The sequence below is a fragment of the Homo sapiens genome, chromosome 6 (genome assembly GCF_000001405.40).
Source record: "Homo sapiens chromosome 6, GRCh38.p14 Primary Assembly".
In the NCBI taxonomy this organism is placed as follows: domain Eukaryota; kingdom Metazoa; phylum Chordata; class Mammalia; order Primates; family Hominidae; genus Homo; species Homo sapiens.
The window spans coordinates 67,917,653-67,931,699 of NC_000006.12; the positions used below are offsets into that span (position 1 = coordinate 67,917,653).

The 14,047-nt window shown below is 33.8% G+C and overlaps 2 long non-coding RNA genes across 2 annotated transcripts in view; one reads left to right on the forward strand and one right to left on the reverse strand.

The window, feature by feature from the left end:
- LOC105377845 (uncharacterized) overlaps window positions 1-14,047 on the forward strand; it is a 45,225-nt gene that overhangs the window by 30,679 nt on the left and 499 nt on the right. Inside the window, exon 2 of the long non-coding RNA XR_942662.1 lies at window positions 3,799-3,994. This is a non-coding gene — a long non-coding RNA (uncharacterized LOC105377845). The remainder of the gene's footprint in view (window positions 1-3,798; window positions 3,995-14,047) is intronic.
- Window positions 6,810-11,055, reverse strand: LOC107986610 (uncharacterized). Its single transcript, XR_001744194.1, has 3 exons — window positions 10,615-11,055; window positions 7,397-7,555; window positions 6,810-7,096 (listed from the first exon to the last, which is right to left on the reverse strand). It is a non-coding gene; the product is annotated as an uncharacterized LOC107986610 (long non-coding RNA).

Sequence of the window (14,047 nt, forward strand, 5' to 3'; positions counted from 1 at the left end):
AGCAAAAATTGACAAATAGGATCTAATTAAACTAAAGAGTTTCTGCACAGGAAAAGAAACTATTCATATCAACAGAGTAAACAGACAACCTATAGAATGGGAGAAAATTTTTGCAATCTATCCATCTGACAAAGGCCTAATATCTAGCACCTATAAGGAAAGTAAACAAATTTACAAGAAAAAAACAAACAACCTCATTAAAAAATGGCAAAGGACATGAACATACTCTTCCTCTTCTCAAAAGAAGATATACATGCGGCCAACAAACATATGAAAAAAAAGAAGCTCAACATCACTGATCATTAGAGAAATACAAATCAAAACTACAATGAGATACCATCTCACACCTGTCAGAATGGCTGTTATTAAAAAGTCCAAAAACAACAGATGTTTGTGAGGTTGTAAAGAGAAAGGAATGCCTTTACACTCTTGGTGGGAGTATAAGTTAGTCCAACCATTGTGGAAGACAGTGTAGCAATTTCTTAAAAACCTGGAGGCAGAAATAGCATTTGACCCAACAGTCGCATTACTGGATATATGCCCAAATGACTATAAATCTTTCTATTACAAAGATACATGCACACATATGTTCATTGCAGCACTATTCACAATAACCAAGACATGGAATCAACCTAAATGCCCATCAATGACAGACTGGGTAAAGAAAATGTGGTGCACATACACCATGGAATATTATGCAGCCATAAAAAGAAATAAGATCCTGTCCTTTTTGGGGCCATAGATGGAGCTGTAGGCTATTATTATTAGCAAACTAACGCAGGGACAGAAAACCAAACAGAGCATGTTCTTGCTTATTAGTAGGAGCTAGATAATGAGAATATACGGACACATAGTGGGGAACAACACACACTGGGGCTTACTGGGTGTGGGGTGGGGCATGGGAAGAGCTAGAGGAACCGGAAGAATAGCTAATGGATGCTGGGCTTAATACCTAGATGATGGGGTGATCTGTGCAGCAAACCACCATGGCACATGTTTATGTAACAAACCTGCACATCCTACACATGTACCCCTGAACTTAGAAGAAAAGTTGGTTTGTAGTTCTCCTTGAAGAGGCCCTTCAAATCTCTTGTTAGCTGTATTCCTATGTATTTTATTCTCTTGGTAGCAATTGTATATGGGAGTTCATTCATGATGTGGCTCTCTGCTTGTCTGTTGTTGGTGTAAAGGAATGCTTGTGATTTTTGCACATTGATTTTGTATCCTGAGACTTTGCTGAATTTGCTTATCAGTTTAAGGAGTTTTGGGGCTGAGATGATGGGGTTTTCTAAATAGAAAATCATGTCACCTGCAAACAGAGACAATTCGACTTCCTCTCTTCCTATTTGAATATGCTTTATTTCTTTCTCTTGCCTGATTGCCCCGGCCAGAACTTCCAATGCTACATTTAACGGGAGTGGTGAGAGAGAGCTTCCTTGTCGTGTACCAGTTTTCATTCAAAGAGAAAGCTTCCAGTTTTTTCCCAGACACCCATTCAATATGTTATTGACTGTGGGTTTGTCATAAATAGCTCTTATTGTTTTGAGATAGCATTCATCAATACCTACTTTATTGACGGTTTGTAACATGAAGAGATGTTGGATTGTATCAAAGGCCTTTTCTGCATTTATTGAGATAATCATGTGGTTTTTGTCTTTGGTTCTGTTTATGTGATGGATTATGTTTACTGATTTGCATATGTTGAGCCAGCCTTGCATCCCATGGATGAAGCTGACTTGATCGTAGTGGATAAGCTTTTTTACTTTCTGCTGGATTCGGTTTGCCAGTATTTTATTGAGGATTTTTGCATCCATGTTCATCAGGGATATTGGCCTGAAATTTTCTTTTTTTGTTGTGTCTCTTCTCTGTTTTGGAATCAGGATTATGCTGGCTAAACTAAGCTTTACATATTTTAAGTTCTCAATTTGTTCTTTAAAAGTATGTAATTGCTATAAAAATAATAGAGAATTCAGAAAAAATGTTTTAACAAAATGCTAATATCTTTTGCAATTATATTTAAATGCAACAGGGATGCTATTTGAAATAAGAAAAAAAAACAAACAACCCCATCAAAAAGTGTGCAAAGCATATGAACAGACACATCTCAAAAGAAGATATTTATTTGACCAACAAACATATGAAAAAAGCTTGACATCACTGATCTGAGAAATGCAAATCAGAACCACCATCAGAAACCATCTCACACCAGTCAGAATGGCTATTATTAAAAAGTCAAGAAACAATATATCCTGGCAAGGCTGTGAGAAATAGGAACGCTTTACGCCGTTGGTGGGAATGTAAATTAGTTCAACCATTGTGGAAAAGAATATGGTGATTCCTCAAGGATCTAGAACCAGAAGTATCATTTGACCCAGCAATCCCATTACTGGGTATATCCTCAAGGATTATAAATCATTCTACTATAAAGACACATGTACACATATGTTTACTGCAGCACTATTTATAATAGCAAAGTCATGGAACCAACCCAAATGCCCATCAATGATAGGCTGGATAAAAAATATGTTGTACATATATACCTTGGAATACTATGCAGCCATAAAAAGGAATGAAGTCATGTCCTTTGCAGGGACATGGATGAAGCTGGAAGCCATCATCCTCAGCAAACTAACACAGGAACAGAAAACCAAACACTGCATGTTCTCACTCATAATTGGGAGTCGAACAATGAGAACACATGGACACAGGGAAGGGGAACATCACACACCAGGACCTGTTGGGGGTGGGAGTGAGGGGAGGGAACTTAGAGGACAAGTCAACAGGTGCAGCAAACCACCATGGCACACGCATACCTATGTAACAAACCTGCACTTTCTACACATGTATCCTGGAACTTAAAGCAAAATTTTTAAAAAGTTGGAAATGTAAAAAAATTAACATGTTTTGTTTTTGCCTTTTTATTATTGTTATGTTTAATCCACTGAAAAACAACCTGAAAACAAAACTATTGCATACCAAACACTTTTAAAAAACTAGGTCATTTTCTATGTATCAGTCAGATTCTTGAAGTCAATACAAACAACAAAAAATATGTTTCTGGAAGGAGACTTAAAAAATGTTAATGGACAACCTTGGTATTGAAAGCATTTATTTCACTTATATACACATTTTAAAAATGAAACAGCTGCAATTTATCCTGCAATCAGTTCCAATATCTTATTGTTTTTGTGTAGCTCTTAATTTTAAATTAAAATTGATTTGCAGCCACAAAATTAAATGCCAAATTGATAAGTGTATCTGAAGTATTTCTATAAACAATAAAAATTTTAAAAAACGACTGACGAAAGTTAAATGCTGTCTAAACTAAGTTTTGCCTGTTTTAAGGTCTCAATTTGTTCTTTAAAAATATGTAATTGCTATAAAAATAATAGAGAATTCAGAGAGAAAATGTTTTAACAAAATGCTAATATCTTTTGTAATTATATTTAAATGCAACAGGGATGCTATTTGAAATTAGAATAAAATTTAGTTATCCTAATTTATGAGTTCAAATCGAATTTTAAAATCTATAAGCTTGCCTACAAAAATGGTTTCAAATATTTTTGTAAGAAATGTTTAATTACTTATTTTAGAAATTGTGTGATACAGATTTAACTTATAATACTATTTCTAGCCCCAAATTGTTTAAGTGAATTTGATAAACTAGATTATTATGTATAACCATTTCTTTCAGTTAATGGTACTGGAGCAGATGATCATGTATTAATAAAGTTGCCCATGACAAAATCCTGGCCCTTCCGACCCCCTAAGCCAGAATTCTTTCTGTCATTGTTTCAGGCTTCAAAATGGTGAGAAGATAATGAGAAAAGGAAAGAATCTATGGATAAGAAGTAAGGAGAAAATCGTTGACAATTGTCAAAATCTTGCCTCATTACTTCTCCAGGAATGATGTCTATCCTTTTCTTCAAACACATTCTGTATTCTAGGAATTCTGAATTATTTTGGATTAGCCAAACTCACTATAAACTCTACTGTAAGTATTTTCAAATACCTTACTTAAATAGGAACATTTATCCTTCTGGCCACTTTTATGGGCTATTTCTTCTTTACCTATCATGACATTTTTGCCATTTCTAAAGATCACCAGAACTAAGATTGGTACCTTTCCCGTGTAATCATTTCAAAGCTAATCATGACATGCAAAATATTATTTAGTTATTTGTTTTCAGAAGAGTTGTCTTGTACTCAGAGATGGTATTCTAAAGTCAGTATGTAAAAAAAAAAATCTAACGTCAATATTACCCTTGAAAATCACTGAACTGCAAATAAAGAGACTCTCTACCACTTAAGCCATTATGTATGAAATGACATGTGTAAGATCTAAAATTAATCAGTGTTAGGAAAGGAAATTTCCTAGCTTGAACTTTTATAATGTTAAATATAGTAGGTTTTTTCATTGTAAAAATATATAATATTAAGGTATAATTCACATGGAGTAAAATTAATCCTTGCTGGTATATATTTCTGAATGTTTGGCAAAGCATATAATCATGTAACTGGCAACACAATCATGATGTAGAACAAATTCATCATACTGAACAATTGGCTTCAGGCACTTTTGCTTCAAACCATCCTCCAAAACACAACCATTATAAACAGCTATTCTGTTGTCTGCCCCTATAGTTTTGCCTATAACACAATATAAAATGAATAATATCATATTGTATATTGACATTAGTGTATGGACTCTTTAATTTATTATAATGCATTTGTTTTTTTGTTTGTTTATTTTATTTTTTTATTATTATAGTTTAAGTTTTAGGGTACATGTGCACAATGTGCAGGTTAGTTACATATGTATACATGTGCCATGTTGGTGTGCTGCACCCATTAACTCGTCATTTAGCATTAGATATATCTCCTAATGCTATCCTTCCCCCCTCCCCCCACCCCACCACAGTCCCCAGAGTGTGATGTTCCCCTTCCTGTGTCCATGTGTTCTCATTGTTCAATTCCCACCTATGAGTGAGAACATGCAGTGTTTGGTTTTTTGTCCTTGCGATAGTTTACTGAGAATGATGATTTCCAATTTCATCCATGTCCCTACAAAGGACATGAACTCATCATTTTTGATGGCTGCATAGTATTCCATGGTGTATATGTGCCACATTTTCTTAATCCAGTCTATCATTGTTGGACATTTGGCTTGTTCCAATTCTTTGCTATTGTGAATAGTGCTGCAATAAACATACGTGTGCATGTGTCTTTATAGCAGCATGATTTATAATCCTTTGGGTATACACCCAGTAATGGGATGTCTGGGTCAAATGGTATTTCTAGTTCTAGATCCCTGAGGAATCGCCACACTGACTTCCACAATGATTGAACTAGTTTACAGTCCCACCAACAGTGTGAAAGTGTTCCTATTTCTCCACATCCTCTCCAGCACCTGTTGTTTCCTGACTTTTTAATGATTGCCATTCTAACTGGTGTGAGATGGTATCTCATTGTGGCTTTGATTTGCATTTCTCTGATGGCCAGTGATGGTGAGCATTTTTTCATGTGTTTTTTGGCTGCATAAATGTCTTCTTTTGAGAAGTGTCTGTTCATGTCCTTCGCCCACTTTTTGATGGGGTTGTTTGTTTTTTTCTTGTAAATTTGTTTGAGTTCATTGTAGATTCTGGATATTAGCCCTTTGTCAGATGAGTAGGTTGTGAAAATTTTCTCCCATTTTGTAGGTTGCCTGTTCACTCTCATGGTAGTTTCTTTTGCTGTGCAGAAGCTCTTTAGTTTAATTAGATCCCATTTGTCAATTTTGGCTTTTGTTGTCATTGCTTTTGGTGTTTTAGACATGAAGTCCTTGCCCATGCCTATGTCCTGAATGGTAATGCCTAGGTTGTCTTCTAGGGTTTTTATGGTTTTAGGTCTAACGTTTAAGTCTTTAGTCCATCTTGAATTAATTTTTGTATAAGGTGTAAGGAAGGGATCCAGTTTCAGCTTTCTACATATGGCTAGCCAGTTTTCTCCGCACCAAAAGTAGATAAAACCACAAACATTGGGAAAAAACAGAGCAGAAAAACTGGAAACTCTAAAAAGCAGAGCGCCTCTCCTCCTCCAAAGGAATGCAGTTCCTCACCAGCAACGGAACAAAGCTGGACAGAGAATGACTTTGACGAGTTGAGAGAAGAAGGCTTCAGACGATCAAACTACTCCGAGCTACAGGAGGAAATTCAAACCAAAGACAAAGAAGTTAAAAACTTTGAAAAAAATTTAGACGAATGTATAATTAGAATAACCAATACAGAGAAGTGCTTAAAGGAGCTGATGGAGCTGAAAGCCAAGGCTCAAGAACTACGTGAAGAATGCAGAAGCCTCAAGAGCCAATGTGATCAACTGGAAGAAAGGGTATCAGTGATGGAAGATGAAATGAATGAAATGAAGCGAGAAGGGAAGTTCATAATGCATTTGTTTTCTCCTGTATTGGTGCTTCACTACTTTCATTGTTGAAGAGTGTTGTAGCACAGTCACTTTTTTCTTTGTTTTTGTTTTTTATCAATTCAGCAATTGAAGGATATTTGTGTTGTTTCTAGTTCAGTGTGATTCCTAGTAAAGCCGTTATAAATATTGGCATACAAATTTCTATCTGAACAAAAGTTATCCTTTCTCTTTGAGAAACAACCTGAGGTGGGATAGCCATGTCATAAAGTAAGCATATGAGAAAGACATTATCTGATTTATACTTTTAAAAGGCATTCTGAGATTTCAGGATTCCAGTATGAAGAAAATCTCGTAATTTGAGACTCTTATCCATATAACAAGAAAAAAAACAAAAAACCAACAAACTGAAAAACAACAAATTTTCTAGGAACCATTAGAAGTCACATAGTGATTCCCTTCCAGAGATCATATAATGGAAAGAGGAACAAAAAGAACTTTACAGTGGGGAAACTTGACAAAAGTGATAATTCAGGTGTGACACAACAAGTGAATAGTTTATATGCTTGATAAGATGTGATGAAAATGACATTTCACCTCTGTAGTCTTCCATAACATTCACGATGTCATAGGATATGTAGCACTTGGAGACTTATGTGAATTAGATGTATCAGAATCATGAGAATGGATGAGAGATCCTCTTGGAAAAGTAAAAAGAAGACAAAGGAAAGAGATTGTAAGTTAAACCATTAGAAAACACCAACAACAACATTTCCTTCTCGATAATAAAATTGAAGTGATCTTTAATTTGTGTAACTAGACTAATAGCCTCTGAGGTTGTTCTCAGCTTCAGGGCCTCCCATACCTTTTCTGTTCTAAGTAAATAATTAAATCCCATCAGGATTGGTTCTTGCTTGAGTTCCCTTACAACCCATTAACGTTAGCATTTGTTTATAACTCTGGTGAACTACCTTTGAGTATCTAATTATAGCTTACTTACTCATTGATCCCAGAAGAATCTGGACCATAGCATGATTTTCTGTTTCCAGTGTAAACATATTTCATCTATTGTGACTTTGCAGAGATCTGAAGGCTGTATTATTTTTATAAGTTGTTGACTATGGCAAGTGCTTTCAAGCCTCAGGCTTCTGAAGGCATTCTAAATAGAAAATAGTTTCTACTCTGAAAAACTGTGAGGAACACTAATACTGAAAAACTTTGGCTTAATAGCATATGGAGCAAATTTGCCCTAAAAGTATATGGAGGGAAAAGTACTTGTGTTACCATAATACATATTCTCAAGATAAGGCTAGACATAGTTAGATATCGAGCTAATTGTTATCTACAACACAAAATTTATTCATCAATGTGTATTTTTTAAATCAAATATTACAAAGAACATTTGTGTGCACTGGTCTTTTTAAAAACATAATTCTGCCATTGATCAGCTCAGAAGCTACTGCTAGAAAGGTGTATTTTGTGTCTGATATAGCCCTACAGCCATATAAGCAGTTTCTTTCTCTTGAGATGTTTTATTCCGCAGGACAAATGTTATGGCTTCTAGCTATTCAATCACCACTATATTTTAAACAAACAGCTATCCCTAAGTAGGTAAGCCCTACAGCACTTAGATATAAAATGTATGCAACTACTTGGTAAGTGAAAGATTTAAAGAAAGTAGTGCAAACTCCGGTATAGATTTCCATTTTAAATGAATCAACTTTACTGCAGCAGCAGTGAGATGTGAGCTCTATCCAGAGCTTTTTGTTAGCCTTTCGTAGTTACATTCATTTTCCCTGCTAACTCTGATGAAGCAAAAGCTAGAATACAAATTTGCATATAAAAGTAAGTGATAACATTTCGTTCTACCAAAAAACCTATCAAATGAGAGAGTGTTCTATAATTCTGTGTTTGAAACCAACTCTGGTGGTAAAGGGATGGCTAAAAGCTAACTCAAGCCTCTAGCACATAAATCAAACCTAAATTATTCTTCTAAGCTTCCTTGAAAGGCTCTAATCAAATTGCTCCAAATTATTGTTTATTTGATTTATTCTTCCCAATGAATTGACTATAAATTCTTATTATGTAAATATAAATTGAGCAGTATATTTTGATATTAATGCTCTAAGTCATTAGGTCTACTTTCACTAAAGATTTGCTTTTTGACTTTCAGTTAAATATTTATTTTACTCTTTTTTCAAATATTTATTCTTTTGATACTGATATTTTTGCTTGCCTTTATATAGCCAGAAATGTCCATCATATTTCAGGTTTCTAAGTACTTATTCATTGAGGACCTATTATAGGCACTAGTGGGTGATTTAGCTTAGTATTCTCTGTCTCTTTCTCTCTCTGTGTATGTATGTATGTGTATGTAAACATATATATGTATAGTAGTATCTATCTATGTGGTTCCTTTATGCTACTCAAAATGTAGCAAAATCATGAAAAAATATCCAAAAAATTTCTAATAATTTAATATAATTTCCTCTTCAGATATTGCCAAAAGGAATTTTATTTTTACCTTGTCTACTTAATAATTATAGAAATAAAAATTAATATGTGCCAAAGAAAATAATTTTATTCTTCCAAAGATGACTAAGATACAAATAGATAAACACATTCAGATATGCAAATATTCATGCAGATTAATTTGGCAGATTGGAAAGCAAAATAAAAAATCTGAGTACTGCTTTAATAGCTGCATTCTAATTTCTTAAATATTATGAACACTTGATGAGAAAAATGATAATTATAAAAGTCATTTCTTCCCGCATTTCTAACTTACATTTTTCTTTCTGGCTCTGAATATTACCATATATGTGCTATCACAAAGATTTAGTAAAAATGTAGTAAAAGGCACAAGATTCTTTCATCATTTAAATGTAAGTCTTATATGACACGTTGTTTCAAAAACTTTCAAAGAACTACTTCAAACGTTGTGGGAGCTAGTTCAAATTGATGTTAAGTTTCAAAAGATTATGGATTTGCTTAATCATTTTATTGTATACTTGTTAATAATTAGGCAACATTTGGACATAGAAAGGAAGGTAATCAGTCCACTCTCATGGACTATCTTGAAGTAATTATGACACTCTTTCACAAAATACAAACAAAACCTACAGGAGATTCAGTCGATATAAACTTTAAGTCTACATCTAGGTGTCTAAAAGGTAAATTTAATTAAACCCAAATATCATTCAACCACAAATAACATAAAATCAAATTCACATTGAAAGTGCTTTTATTTGGCTGTGTTTTAATATTAATCTTTGATTTTCAATTTTGTTTCTTTTTCCCTTACTATGTCATTAATAACATCTACCAAACTTGAGGGACACTATTTTTGAACATTTGCTTCTTGGTCATTTAGTTCTCAGACAGAATAAAAGGGAAAATTAATTTTGAATAAATACTAGGAAAGCGTACATGCATATGTTAAGTTTTCCTTAGTTTATTTGTATGATAATTTCTTAGTTTTTGCCATGGCATGAACATTTGAAATGGTAACTTTATTATAGCTATGAAATTAGCATAAAGGCAGTATAGGAGGATTTATAGCAGAATACTTAAAGAATCTTTGAGACTGATCATGAGGTGAGTTCATATTCTGGCCTTCCAAATTATTAATGGGAATTCAATGGGAAATTCATTTATCTTCTACAAGTCTAAATTTTTACAATATAAAAAAGGAGATAAGATAGTTTTAAGTAAAATAAATTAAAAATATATAAAATGTTATAGAATTAGGGTGGGTATGTAGTAAGCTGTGAATAAACATTACTTATAATAGTCACATCATTTTATTCAGATGTATTAAGAATCTCTTTTAAGCTTTAAAAAATGAATAAGACAGACTAATGGCAACATGGAAAGGATGAAGAGGTATATTATAAATATTAAACAGAAGAACCAGTTTATTTGCATTTGCGCTAAGATACTATAAAGAATATGCCTTTATGTAATACAAGCTAAATTAAAAGCAATGCTACTTAAATAGGATGGTCAAGGATGGTTTCTTAAAAATGTTTCATAACAATAATAATAGCATGATAATGATAATGATGATACTAATTTTAAAATAATAATAGATAAGTATTAAATGTTTCTAAGTATATTTACTGGGAATTTATATATGTTATTTTATTTATTTATAATATATCCCCTGCTGGGTAATTTATTATTATTCACATTTTATTGAGACCTTATATAACTTACCTGAAATCCAAAAATGTTGGCTGCTAGATTTGGATATGTAAATATAGACCTGATAATGAACAAAATAGAAAAATAATAAATCAATAAAAATACAAAACAGCTTTAAAAACTATGATGTCAGACTTCCAAGAAATTAAATTCCACAATGGTCAATATGATCCAAAGACCTAACTCTGTGCAGGAATACATGCATGTAATAGGAGTGAATTGTTTGATGCATGTCTTCCTTTACTTTTCTTACCTGTACTGATTTACCTCTGTTTCCTCTACCTCATTCTTTCTTTCTACCATACTCCTTTATATTTACTCACAACACATTACTGGGGAACATTTTAGGATTACATTTCTTTTTTTTTCTATTAATGAAAATTTTATTTTATCAAGTCAACATATATTGAAATCAAAGGTAGGTAGTAATACCTGTGCTCTTAGAGAGGCTTAAAGAAGACTGTTATGAATGCCATTCTTAAGGAAAGATATTTAGGAAGGAGGTGTGGCAAAGAGCTACTCATTATCTAAGGCACCACCTAAAGATTAATGCTATAATCATAGAAAGAAGTTGTCCTAATCAGGATCCAACATTATGTATCAAATACAAGATGGAGTAAGAATATAAGTAATGAGGTTTGAGCTTAGTGAAATGGAGAGGTAAGATGAAAGGTTTGGAGAATTTATACTCGCAAAAGAGAATATTGCCATAGTATCGCTTTTACATAGCACCTGGTGCCTGAAATGAAGTAGGTGAGTGCTACTGCAAAAACGATACTGTCCTGAAAAATAATTTATTCATAAACCATGAATTGTAATATTTATGTAAACTAAACATTTCAATAAATTATAGTAGTTCTGTAGGATTAGTGGTGATATCCCCTTTATCATTTTTTATTGTGTCTATTTTATTCTTCTCTCTTTTCTTCTTTATTAGATTAGCTAGCAGTCTATCTATTTTGTTAATCTTTTCAAAAAAACAGCTACTAGATTCATTGATCTTTTGAAGGGTTTTTCGTGTCTCTCTCCTTCAGTTCTGCTCTGTTCTTAGTTATTTCTTGCCTTCTGCTAGCTTTTGCATTTGTTTGCTCTTGCTTCTCTACTTCTTTTAACTGTGATGTTCGGGTGTCAATTTTAGATCTTTCCTGCTTTCTCCTATAGGCATTTAGTGCTATAAATTTCCCTCTAAACACTGCTTTAGCTGTGTCCCAGAGATTCTGGTACATTGTGTCTTTGTTCTCATTGGTTTTAAAGAACTTATTTATTTCTGCATTAATTTCATTATTTACCCAGTAGTCATTAAGGTGATCATTAAAAAGTCAGGAAACAACAGATACTAGAGAGGATGTAGAGACATAGGATGGCTTTTACACTGTTGGTGGGAGTATAAATTAGTTCACCCATTGTGGAAGACAGTGTGGCGATTCCTCAAGGATCTAGAACTAGAAATACCGTTTGACCCAGCAATCCCATTATTGGTTATATACCCAGAGGATTATAAGTCATGCTGCTATACAGACACGTGCACATGTTAGTTTATTGCAACAGCGTTCACAATAGCAAAGACTTGGAACCAACCCATCAATGATAGACTGGATAAAGAAAATGTGGCACATATACAACATGGAATACTATGCATCCTTAAAAAAACCATATCATTTGCAGGGACATGAATGAAGCTGGAAACCATCATTCTCAGTAAACTAACAGGAACAGAAAACCAAACACCACATGTTCTCACTCATAAGTTGGAGTTGAACAATGAGAACACATGGACACAGGGAGGGGAACATCACACATACCGGGGGCCTGTCAGGGGTTGAGGGGCAAGGGGAAGGATAGCATTAGGAGAAATACCTAATGTAGATGGCAGGTTGATGGGTGCAGCAAACCACCATGGCATGTGTATACCTTTGTAACAAAGTTGCATGTTCTGCACATGTATCCCAGAACTTAAAGTGTAATAATAATTTTAAAAAGCTTAAAATAATTACAGTAGAAGAGCTTACAATTTTTTCAAAAGAAATTACCTTTCCTTGTCTTTAATGTTGGCCCATTCTCAAGCCATTCTGGTACTGAAACACTTTTGTTTTTCCCATTTACTATCTTTAGTCTCTTTCAAATTTTATCTATATATTAGATCAGTAGACACATTTTTCTTACAGACTTTTATCTTAATCTGATGACTGGAAAGATTATTGCCATCATTTTGGAGACATGTTTGAAGTTTTTGTTACCTAATACAACAAAAACTAGCATAAGCCAATATCACAGGCATGTAATTATAGCTTACATATAATATTGAGACTCTTTAGTGTTCAGTAATCCTTTGCTTGTAACTGAAAAGACACAGCTTCCTAATTCGTATAAAAAGCTTTAAAATTATCTTTATGATCTTTGTAATCATGTGCTGTATTCAAATGTGAAGACACACATATTGACTTCTTTTGGTATTGCAGAGGATTTTTTATGGGGAGGGCGTTTTCTTTTAGTTATAATTAATGTTTGTATTAGTCTGTTTTGATGGTGCTGACAAAGACGTACCAAAGACTGGAAAGAAAAAACGTTTAATTGGACTTAACAGTTTCACATGGCTAGGGAGGTGTCAGAATCATGGCAGGAGGTGAATCGCACATTTTACATAGCAGCAGAAAAAGAAAATGAGGAGGAAGCAAAAGCAGAAGCACCTGATAAACCCATGAGATCTCGTGAGACTTACTCACTATCACAAGAATAGCACTGGAAAGACAGGCCCCCATGTTTCAATTACCTCCCCCTGGGTCCCTCCCACAATACGTGGGCATTCTGGAAGATACAATTCAAGTTGAGATTTGGGTGGGGGCACAGCAAAACCATATCAATATTCTCTGTTTATTGACCCGTGCTATAGATCTAGTTTTGTCTTTGGTTAAAAGAATTTCTAACGTCTCTCTAAACTATTAAACCATTATGTGGTTTAGACTATTAAACCATTATGTGGTTTAGACTATTACACCACATATTAAAACAATTGACCATCCATAATGATTGTCCCCAATTTGTGGACTCCTTAGCAATGTATTCAAAACAAATAAAGGGACTAGCAACACCTCACTTATATGCCTAGTTTACACTTGACACTAATTTGATGCTTGAAAGCAATCGGTGAATTTCATCCATTAAAAACAAAAAATGGTTGAATCACAGAGAGATCAGTAGAATGATTATTATTCCTAGTGAATTCTTATTGGAGCCATTACAATACAGTTGACAGTATAGGATTTAGAAAATCTAAGTTTTGCTTCTCACTTCCTTATTTTTCAGATATATGGAACTTAAAAGCTGCTATGTGTTCATCTTTAAACATTTAAAGAATGTATTAGGTAGCAATGCTCAGTGCTGAAGATACAAACATAAGCAAAAAACTCTACTCCATAGCCTCTCTATCCTTTCATCACCTCTTGGG